We start from the raw sequence: 11,930 nt of genomic DNA, 5'->3' as shown, positions 1-11,930 counted from the left end.
ACTGTGGAATCTCTTAAAGTAGGGATTATGTCTCATACTTCTTTTGATCCCAGCCCATAGTTGTGACTATTTAGTAAACAGTGATGGCAATGTGAGAACTATGTTACATATATTTAGCTGACCTTAGTGTGTATTTGATATCTATATATACTATATATACACACACCCATACATATATATATATATTTTTTACTTCTTACATGAGAACGAAAGTTATATTTAGATGAGATGTCTTTTCAGTGAAAACATCCTTACTTTTGCTTTTTATTTGATGTATTTTAGTTGGAAAACAGTTATAACAAAAAATTAATCTGTATGCCATATATGTCTCTACAGTTTAGCTACGAATTCAAAATTTGATCCAGTTGAAACGCCATTGACCTTTGTATTTGACTAGGAACATACAATACACATTCAGTAAATATTATATTGTAAAAAAGTCTTTAAAAATGTGAAATAAACTCATATTTGTTATCTAGTATATGTAAATTTCTGTTAATCTTGGGCATTAACTGTTGAACTTTTTTTCCCCTAAGGTAGCTTATACATCATTTGGATAATGTATGTGATTTTTTTTTTTCAGAGTCATAAACATTCTAAGTGCATACGGCCATTTCTTCCTTATTTCAATGTGTCACAACAATTTGCCACCTTTGTTCTTAAGGGATCTTTTGTAAGTAAATATGTTTAACTTTATTTTAGTTTTGATTTAAGAATTTATATATTCTGTCACAGGCCAGTAGTTCTTAAGTGAAGCCTTATATTATGAACTTTTAACAGTTTGCATATGAATTGACAGAGGCCCTGGTGTCTTCTGTCTTCCGACTTGCTTTAATCTAGCAGGACAGAAGCCAGTAGGAGGTAAAATGCTCTGTGACTTTGAGGAACACTTACAAAAGTCACTTGCAAGAAAGTTGTTCTTGGTGGTAGAAGCATTTTATGGTCTAGGGAACTTTCAAGCATTGATATTTACAGTATACTATGCCAAAAATATTGTTTAAAAGTACCAGATACTTGCTATTTCTGTGAATTGTTAGGTTTGAATTGACAAACTGCAGTACCCTTTCTGATTACTAATGGCATAAGAATTGTTTTTTAATACCAGAAAGTTATTTTAATTTAGAAGTTATTACACAGGTACAGTAATGAATGTTTTTGAAGCAAAGACACTGTAATTTTTTTATCATTTGCCAAAATTCTTTAGTGTTTAGAGAATAAAGTATTTGCTTGAACAGTGTTTTCCTATTTTTAAAAATATTATTATTTAATATTTGAGGTGTTTCTCTTGATAAATAGAGATAATATTGTCATTGGTACATTCTTGCTGGTACTGATTTTGGAAATCCTCAAAGAGGATGTGATGAATTACTCAGCCATGCTTTTTTGTCTTTTCTTTACAGAGTGAAATACCAGAGCTACAGGTATGGTATACCAAACTTGGAAAAACATCCGAAAGATTTCTTTTTAAGCAGCTGGATTCTCTATGGGTAATTTTAAAGTAAATTCTTATATTTTGGGTATTCCAACAGTAAAACAGTAAAAGGGCACAGAAATGTCATTAATTAAGAATTTTTATTTTTATAAGTTTGTGTGTTTATAGATGTGTTTAGCTCTTAGACATTTAGTTTGTCTTGGTGGATGGTGACGCCATCACCTGGCTTCCCAGGTTGGAAATTTAAGTCCCATTTGAGACTCTCTGTCTTTCCCACTCACCCTCTGTATCCCGCCAGTGGTCAAGTATAGACAGTTGTATCCACACATTTCTCTTACTCACTCCTTATTCTCCATTACCACCGTTACTTCTTGTTTCAGTTCTTCATTATCGCTCTCCTGGATTTCAGAAACTGCCTCTTGTTTTTCCAGTCTGACTTTCCAGGTCACCCATCACACTGCTACAGAGTGAAATGTCAAAAATGCAGATCTGATTTTTGTGACCACTGTGCTCAGAGGACCTCAGTGATTATTTTCTTAGAAGTTAACATTCCTTAGTGTAGCACATGGCCCTCATTATCCTCCCAGAAGGTAGAAGACTGGTCTTCTTCCTAGAGATGTGTCCTACTAAACTGGCCTCTCTTCACATACTAAACTTACATTTTTCAAAGCATAGCATGCCTGTTTATTTACCTCTGTGACTTTGCACATACTGTGTTCTTCACCTAGAATGGCCTCTCCTCAACTTTGTCATCTTTTGAGACTCAATTCAAGTGTCTTTTCCTCTGACGCTTCCTCACCAGTCTTAGCTCATATTCACCTAGGGCCATGTGCTTACCTAGTTAAATGCTTTTCCTGCACCACTGGACACCTTGAAGACTGAGCCTTGCCTTATTTAGCTTTATATCCCAGGTGCTTCCCACAGTGCCTCATCCATGGTGCTTTCTGGGGAAAGGTTTCAAAGAACGAATTGGCCCAAACAAGCACATTATTTCACTTAATTGACACAAGTCTACCACTTTTTCTGGTTATTATTAATGTTCTGATAACCAACTAGTCACTAACAGTGATAAAACACCTTATTATGTATTAAGTTCTGAAAAAAAAGTTCATACTTTTTGTGTAACAAATTGCTAGGAATGGCATAATAAAATTGATTTTCCTCATAAGAAAAATAATGTCATTTGGGGTTATTCTTCAACCTGAATATAACGGTCAGGTATTTCATAGATCTGATCATCAATTTACCATTAAAACAAGGATAATAACTCCTTTTATTCAAAATAGAAAAAAACTGTTCAAATTTCATAAAAGGATTCCAGTGTCTTCAGAGATCTACATTTAGCATAGAACAACTTTGATACTGGGAGCGTTTTCCATTGGTCACACACTAAGCTTAGCACTTTAAAAGCATTATCTGGTTTAATCCTCACAGCAGTCTATAAGGTATGTATTTTTTCCTCATTTTGTAGATGAGGAGATTGTGACTTAAAGAGATTAAGTTGCCAAGATCGTAAGTGTGACATAAGCCTAACTTGCTAGTTGAAATATATATTGATCATAAAATGAGCAGGATTTTTCTCTCTTAATTGTAAAAGGATTTCTGTGATTAACAGCTGGGTCGACAGTGATATTTTATGAATTTTTTTACCTTAGTAAATTACTGAGAGAAAAAAGCAGGTCTCTTAGTTGCATGTATCGAATATATCCAAGCTTTAAGGAGCTTACTGTGTAGTGGAAAAGAATAGGCTAATAGAAATAGATTTTGAGATTATTTAGTCCTTCCTTCCATGAAGTAAGGTTGTTTAAAATTATAAAGCATAATTTTATAAAGTTTTCTAAAATACTTAGGAAAAAAAGATTCCAAGGGCCTTGATATTGGTGAGTTTTCCACAAATGTTTAGGAAGTTCTAACAGAAATGATTTGGACTTTTCTTTAAGCTAATTTTTTTAAAGCTATTCTGTCCACATGAGATGAGCTATAGTACCTGGTCCTGAATACAGTAGTGTCTTCTTTTTCAGCTCCTTGACAGCGATGGCAGTTTCACACTGAGCCTGCATGAAGATGAGCTGTTCACACTCACCACTCTCACCACTGGTCGCAAAGGCAGCTACCCGCTTCCTCCAAAATCCCAGCCCTTCCCAAGTACCTATAAGGATGATTTCAATGTTGGTGAGTATTTTTCACTAAAACTTAACTTGGTCTCTATATTTAACAGTAGTGTGTTGATTTCTACCTGTCAAACTGGGTGCATGATGGAGTGGCTGTCAAAAGCACATTCATTTACCTCCTACATCTCATATGCGGTAAAAGGAGGGCTAATTTTTTGCATTACTTTATGGTAAATCTAAATTTGAGGACCCTGTATTTTTCAGTTTCAGAAAAAAATATAGGGTTCATTGTTAGAATGAAAGTTATAGTTCTGATTTGTTTTTGGTGAAACTTAAACTTTGTAACTTTGCTACTGCCCCATTAGCCATTACTGACATCTTCCTTCTGTGTGGAGGTTAAGACACATTCATATCTGTCTTTCTGCAGTGCTAGTGAACTGAGTGCTTATGGGCAGTTATGTTGTCCTTGGCTGATCCAACTCATTATATACCATCCCGTGCTTTTTTTTTAATTGAGCTTTCTTGGTTTTCTAGGAAGATCTGTCCTAAAGTTGTTAGAAAAGTTTTTGGTTATAGGTGATTTAGGAAAACCACTTGGAAAAAAGTTAGAAGACATGGTCATTGTAGTTATATTCCTAGTGAGTAAGTAACAAAATTTGTTGACTGCTTGGTGGTGTTCTGTAGGTTTATGGGTCTCACAGACAGGGTCAGGTGGCTTTGTAATCTGCTCCTAAAATCTGTAGCAGCAGGAGAGTAATAGGGAGGGAGCTGGCATTGCTGGAGCATCACTTGAAGCTCCTGTTTGCTGCAGAGCTGCTTGTTCCACCAAAGATGGACACTCCTATCACCCTTTCCCAGTCACTGCTACAGGGTCTCGCCTCCCTTTCTCAGGAAATGATCTAGTTGGCTGGAGTATAAGGCCTTTTGGACTGTGTAATGGAGTCCTCTCAACTATAATACAGACAACAGTGATCCTCAGGGGGAGCTTGGTGGTTTGTTTTTCTGCAACTCTTTGAAATGGCCTCTTAGATAAACCCATTAATTTTGTGAAACACAGGGTCTTTAAAATCTGTTGCTCGCTTGGTTCTCTGTTAGCAAAAGTGACTTTTGCCTTCAGTAAGTGAGGAATCTGTGTGGGATATGGCCTAGATAATGAGATTGAAGAACTGCCAGCACCAAGACCAATATTTTGTGACCCTGAAGACTAAGAGGCAATTTCAAACCTTCAAATATAAAATGTAATACTTTATGAGCTACAATATAAATTTAAAACTAAGTTAAATATTATAAGCTAGGCTCTGGAGATACTTGTTAGGGTTCTAAATGTCTCAAATGAGGTAATGAATGCAAAAACACTTGGAAAAGCATGAGGTATAAGAGCTATAAGATATGTAAAATTTCTCCTCTACAGCATTCATTATTGTAAGACTATAATTTAATTTAGTAAAACTAAAAAGGGATTGATAACTTAGGCCCAAAACTGGTTTTTGCTGCAGTTTAGAAGTAGAAGAAAATTTGTAAATTTTATGCTTGATATAGTAAACCTTTCTTATGCTCTTTTGGCAGATGATTGTGACGCATGATTTGGAACCTTGCTTGACAGATATTAGAAATAATAAAGCTATCCCTTATTGAGCCCTTGCCAGGTGCTGGCTTATGTACCTGTTATCTTTTCTTTAATTCTCTTGTCCTCCTGCAAACCTGGAAATGAAGAAACTTTAGATGCAGGGCAGTTAAATAGCTTGTCCAGGGCGACAGACTGAACTCGAATTTGAATCTAGGTCTTACTTCAAAACTCATGACCTTTCCTCTACACCAGATGCCTGGATTAAATATTATGCAGCATCTATATGTCGAACTCATCATCTTGATATTTAGTAATGATGATACAAAAATTAATGTATCTTTATTAGACCTAGGCCCTAAACTTTGGTTTAGATTTTATTTATTTATTTAAAAGCTTTCAGAAGTGTTTCAGACATACTATAAAATATCAGCAAGGAGAGCTTCTGAAGGATTTGATACTAAACAGAGAATTTCTTACATTCTGAACAGATTACCCATTTTTTAGTGAAGCTCCAAACTTTGCTGATCAAACTGGTGTATTTGAATATTTTACAAATATTGAAGACCCTGGCGAGCATCACTTCACGCTACGCCAAGTTCTCAACCAGAGACCCATTACATGGGCTGCCGATGCATCCAACACAATCAGTATTATAGGAGACTACAACTGGTAAGATTGATGTTCTCAATGTGGATCTGGCTGAAATACCCTTGTAATATTGTCAGGTACATTTTGAAGTGAAGAGTTTTCAATGGTCCTCCTATTTCAAGAACCTAATAGATGTGTAATATGTAATATTAAGGGTTGTTGAATAGTATGGTGATGACCACAAAGCTGCAAATTGTTTTGCTGCCCCAGTGTCCTTCCCTCATTTTTGCCCTATTTAATAGTGATTATTACAGGAGCAATTTGATTCCAGTATAAAAACTAAGGACTTTTGGACCCAATTATAATTTAATATTTGTTTATAAATAGACGGATTTGTGAGGTATTTTTAAGTTTTTGTTTTGCTGGAGAGTTGATTTGTTGATCTGGTGTTGCCATCTAGTGGACCAATCTTAGAATTACACCGTCTTAGCCTTATTAAAAGATTTACCAGGTGACAGTAGATGGCAATAGTAAAAAGCTAATCAGCTTTAGTCGCCTAGTGAATTTAACTTTTTATTTAGTCATCTGGTAAAGAGACAAGTTATATTATTCACATAAAATATAATGCCAAACTAAAACTTTCCCTTCCTCTTTAGTTACAGAATTTCTATGTGCTGACTTATTCCACCTGTCATGTGTTTCTTTTTCATTTTTTCCTATAACTAGTATGATTCCACTGTGGGAAAAGAAACACATACACATTCCAGGTTTAGAGCTAGTACTAGTAATACCAAGCCACCAAAAAGCCATATCCGAAGCTTGGAAACTGGAGAGGGAAGAGAAAAGAATTCTGAAAAGAGCCTTGAATTGCCTGTCTATGGAGTGTGCAGAAAGTGTTTATCCCTCCTGAAGTGCCTTACTCCCAGTTAGAAATCCTGATTCTAGTCCCAAGCTCTGACATAAGTCTTAAGAAACTTTTAGTTATCCAGAGCCCCTGGAACCCTTATAACACTATGAAGAGTTATTGAGGTGCAGTGAAGAATTCCTTCCTAATTTAGGATGACATTTGTGGCTTGTGTTTTTACGCAGAATTTCTGCTTGTCCCATTGTCTCTGAGGTGGAAACTTTACCTAGATTTTCCAGTTATGGTAGTGGAGTTCTTGGCATCCTTATTTGTGACTGATGGTCTTATTTTAAGTCCAGTGGCTGGGTTTAAGTGTCCAAGGCCTGGGTCCCATTGTTTTGATCTCCAGTTTTGAAGTCGCCGTATAGGAAACTTTTTTTTCTGTGACATCCCCTATACCCCATGCACTTGAATACCATAGAGGGCTCTTTCTAAACTCAAACTCAATCTTATTTCTGGCTGGGACTCCAAAAAGATTGAGAAGCCCCTTAATTGTAGTATAGAAGTGAGATATAGCACCATCCAAAGATTTACTCCCCCAGATCTTCATATATTTGAATCTTCATATACATCTTCACAATTTAAATAGCAATACTCAGTTTTTACTAGGATCTATTGCAGTGGGTAAGGAGGTGGGGACGAGGGATGGGGAAGGGTGTAGAAGGGAAGAGAGTGACATATTCTGAAAGGAAAGGAACCGGGAAGTTGCAATTTTGCGTGTCAAGAAAGGCCTGCCTTCATCTTTCTGAAGCCCTGTTTTCATCATGTTATTCCCCTGCTCAGGAAGATGCAGTGACTCTGTCCTGCTACCTGTGTTTTCCACTTCTAGGCTTGATTTCCAAGACCCTTTATAATTTGGTCTCATCTATTATGTGTTATTTTCCAGTATTCCACCCTCTATTTGAGGCAGCCAGATCTGCTCAGAGATCCACACAAATCCCTTGTTCATTTCTGTTGTCTGGCTGCTGTGCCCACTTATTGTGGGAAAAGGAGGGAATAAAAATTGGGTAATAGTAGGCACTTTGATGGATTTCCCACACAACCACTTTATGGTGGAGATATCATCGTCCCCACCTTGCAGACTGAGAAACTGCATCTTTGGAATAAGATTTACCCAATATTTCACTTGTAAGTGGCAGAACAAGGGCTAGAAGCCGGGTCTGTGTGACTGAGTAGCCCATTCTCTTTGGAGTACATCTCACAGCCTCATTTTAATCATCTTCTTCCTAAAGGTAGGAAATGAGAAATTTGTTTAGTTTATCTGTAGTGCTATTTTAGTAAATCTGCTCTCAATGAGTGCACACTACTCACAGTTTTTAGACTTGTGTTTTGAGTAGAACTTCCTCTCTTATACCTAGATTTAGTCATTTACCAGCACAGTAATTTGATTATATGGGATAGATTGTACTATAACTGGCTACTTCTATCTTGATAGTGAGCATTGGTTGGAATCCTTTAAAGACAATCACAAAATTACCTTTCCCTGCACACAGATGAACTCTCTTGGATCAAATTTGCCTTATGTATTGGCTAGTTTTTGTTCTTTCAGCATTACTGAGAGATTGTGGCTGTGGAAGAATAAACCACACTTTTATTCCATTTCATTCATTATCTGTGAAATTGCCTGGCAAGTTCTGATGCAAGAATCACTTATTCTGGAATGTGGTATATAGAAAAGGAAAGTTTGATCTTCTCTCATTCCAACTCTAAATAGAATAATTTTATGGTGCTGATGGTATTTGTAGCACTTTCAAACTTCTGATGAACCAGAAAGGAGGTAAGGGATGTAAGTACCAGTGTTGATTGCCAGTGGTTTCATGCTGGTGATAATCTATGGAGAGAAAACTCCCTCTGATGTCAGAGGACATACAAGAGAGACTGGGCTTGAGTTACTTAGCATTTATCTTCCTGTAAAGTAGTCCAGCTCTGCTTAGATAATTAAGTGTGGATTGTCCTCCCTGTGTAGCTGATGTAGGTACTTCTGTAATATTTTCCTTTATGTAGTAAAATTTCACTGTGCAAAATTCACTGATAAGACACAGAAATGTAAAAGCCACATAATTCTAGATCTCATTCCCCCCAGCCCATTTCCAGAATGGATTTCTTGGTGTTTCCAGTTTTATGTGAGATATATTGCTTGATTTATGACTTGGTTATGTGCAGGCTTTCTTTTTCTTCCCACTTGCAGTTAGATACTGAGTAGGAAGTGAAATATTTTCAGAGATCATGTTGGTTTGGGGTGGTTGTAGCATTCCAGAAGGAAAGTGTTGTACCTGGTAGCATTTGTAAGAGGAAACCTGGAGGAGAGCTCACTGTAAAAGCTCTGGTAGTCCCTGGACAGCTGAATCTTTTCCCATCTTTGATAGACTGCTGTGGATCAGTGAGCCTAGAACCAGGATTTTATTGCTTCCTTATAGACAGATACTTCATAGGGGAAAATGGTCCTCCAAGTGGCATTCCTGGACGAGCAGCATCAGCATCACCTGGGAACTTGTTAGACATGCACATTCAAGGGGCTGCCCCAGATGTACTGAATCACGCTGTGGGGTAGGGCCAGTGAACTGAGTTTAAGAAGCCCTCCAGGTGATTTCAGTGCTGTTCAGGTGTGAGAAGCCCTCCTAGAGAGTCAACTCTGTGGTCTTTGCAGAAAAATAATTTTAGATCTTTTCTCCTGGAGTTTTAAAGTTTTGTTAGATTTAAATGTAAAAGTTGGCCCCGGAATAGCTTGTGTTCTCTCAAAGGCTCCTAGCATTGCCTTCATTGCCTCTCTTTGTTGATGGAAGTTTGAATAAACATTTTCCCTCAGAATTGTGTGGAACTTTTTACTTTTTAATGTGTTCATAGACAATAGTAGCATTTTAAAATATTGTATTCTTAAGATGAGAAGTTGTTTTATTGTAGAAAAAAAATTTTCTCAGGAAACTTAAAAATCATAACTATTATTGTCCAGTAATCATTTAAAGAGGCAATGAAATGACTTAAGTCATGTAACATTTAAAACTGTTGTCAATAAAGATTCTTGAAGCCCATCTCTGCTACAGGCTTAGACTTAGCAAATCACATTCTCACCTCAATTAGAAGTTTGGAAGCATGTGCTGTGAAATGACATATCTGTACTATGTTACAAAGGGCATATTTTAAAGAGTACTAATCAACCGTTTTATTTTGCAGGACCAATCTGACTATAAAGTGTGATGTATACATAGAGACCCCTGACACAGGAGGTGTGTTCATTGCAGGAAGAGTAAATAAAGGTGGTATTTTGATTAGAAGTGCCAGAGGAATTTTCTTCTGGATTTTTGCAAATGGATCTTACAGGGTTACAGGTGATTTAGGTAACTGACTTTTTTTTTTTTTAATAGCATATGACTTATGGGCTATGTTACTTTGAGCACCTACTTGTTATTTGTGGGAGTGATAAAAAGAATTCAACCCAAGGTGTTTGGACATCTAATTGGGAAGGGATGTAAGCAAATACCAAATAGTTTACAATTATAGAAAGTTATTTAATTCCTAGAGATGGGGGCAGCTCTGTGGAAGGGAAAATAATTGTACAAAGCTTTTAAGGGTATTGTAGAGTTGAACTGGGCTGTGAGGATAGGATTTGCATAGATAGTATCAAAACCATCTGAGGTAGTGGTGGTAGGGAGAGAATGCTCAGGAGGCACCATAAATAAAAGCAAGAGTATACGACTGTTGCTGCTGTACCTATAGAAATATAAGGAGGGGAATTGATCGGCTTAAAATGGAAAAATCTCATTTTTGAATTTAGTTAATACTTGAAAATAGCTTGACTTTTCTCAGTCATCTTTACAGCCCTTGTGTTAGGTAGGATAATATTTTATCCAGAATAGGTGCTTCAAATATGTTCAGATTGAACTGTGTCCACTTCAGATTGGTTTTGATACACACCACTCCTTTGAAGCTAGACCTTACTGGTAGTGACTTTTCTTGATTCTCAGTCTCTTGACTTTCGTCTTACCTTAATTTAAAAATATCTCTTTTATAGTTTTCTGCTCTTTGCTTTGACTCCATAAATAAAATAAAAATTAAAGAGGAAGTAGGTAGTAAGGATATTAGAACAAGAGTTACATATTCATAGCATTACCAATCTGAACTTACCTCAGTGATACTGAAATCGAAAACATAGAACCAGTGAGGTTAATTGAGTGGCCTAATGACTCAAAGCTAGTTAGTGGCAGAACTGGAACTAGGAATTTAAATCTGTGTCTGCAGTCCCTATTGTCTGTTTTAAACCGCCTACTTGAAATTTTGTCCTGGGTTTCTCATAGGCATTCAAATAACACTAATTCCAAAAATTAACTTACTATTTTCTCCCTCTAAGTTAATACTATTACCATGTGACCAATTAGACTGGCTGGAAATTTTATATTCTGTCTCTCTTGTCTTCCATATTCAATCCAGTCATGTATAAATGTGTACTTGAACTACAGATGCTAACACCTCATACTATCACTGGTTTTTAAGTTTATTTCACTGGTTCTGTTGTGAGCTCACATATAGTATATGGCTCAGAGTAGGATCTCAGTATATGCTATTAAATGCATGGCTAAATGAAAAATGTTTTGGCTTAACTCAGTTGTAGATCTGGGAATGAAGGGACATAGCTCTCTGTTGAGGCTGACTTTACTACATACAGATGCCACTCAAGAACCCCACTGAATTATATGATTCTGTGATTGAGATCTCAAAATTATATCTATTGGGATAATATTTTTGTGTTACAGCTGGATGGATTATATATGCTTTAGGACGTGTTGAAGTTACAGCAAAAAAATGGTATACACTCACGTTAACTATTAAGGTAAGTATTGCTGATTGGAGTCTGGAGGTAAAATGCTCTTTTGTTGTGCATTTCTATAATTTTCTGTTATAAAATAGGAGGGGGAAAGTGTGACATATAATGAAGAGAGACAAAGAATCTGCCTTGGTGCCGGGAAGCCACTCATCCCTAGGATAGTTACATGTGTGAGGGTAACCTATGTGAGAACCATCAGCAGTTGACTTTATCAGGTCACTATTTTTTTAAAAAATTTTATTTTGTTTTTTAAACTGAGGCATAATTGATAGAGTCAATAATTGAACTATTTTTTTCAAGTTTGCTTGAACCAAGACTGTACATGGAGCTTATAGATGTAAGCAAAGCCATATGCATTTATTTTTGATGGTTAAGAATAATTTGGTTTTCAATTATAAGCATAATTTTTAGAAATTGGTTTCCATGAATATTTTAGTCAGAGAAAATACCAGATTAATTTTAGTATAATAGAAATATAAAAATGTTCCTGAGAATCACTGGGTGATCAT

The 11,930-nt window shown here is 36.3% G+C and overlaps 1 protein-coding gene across 12 annotated transcripts in view; it reads left to right on the top strand.

The window, feature by feature from the left end:
- GALC (galactosylceramidase) overlaps positions 1-11,930 on the top strand; it is a 60,654-nt gene that overhangs the window by 42,336 nt on the left and 6,388 nt on the right. For 11 of the 12 annotated variants that reach the window (NM_001424076.1, NM_001201402.2, NM_001201401.2 and 8 more), the window contains 6 exons: positions 584-673; positions 1,401-1,487; positions 3,454-3,604; positions 5,599-5,779; positions 9,774-9,937; positions 11,351-11,427. In NM_001424076.1, the coding sequence (NP_001411005.1) occupies positions 584-673; positions 1,401-1,487; positions 3,454-3,604; positions 5,599-5,779; positions 9,774-9,937; positions 11,351-11,427 (750 nt within the window). The remainder of the gene's footprint in view (positions 1-583; positions 674-1,400; positions 1,488-3,453; positions 3,605-5,598; positions 5,780-9,773; positions 9,938-11,350; positions 11,428-11,930) is intronic. The other variant, NR_187582.1, reaches the window with a different exon arrangement.

The sequence above is a fragment of the Homo sapiens genome, chromosome 14 (assembly GCF_000001405.40).
Source record: "Homo sapiens chromosome 14, GRCh38.p14 Primary Assembly".
NCBI classification, from domain to species: Eukaryota; Metazoa; Chordata; class Mammalia; order Primates; family Hominidae; genus Homo; species Homo sapiens.
Note: the sequence above shows the minus strand (reverse complement) of the source record. Positions and strands in the feature narration are given on the sequence as shown.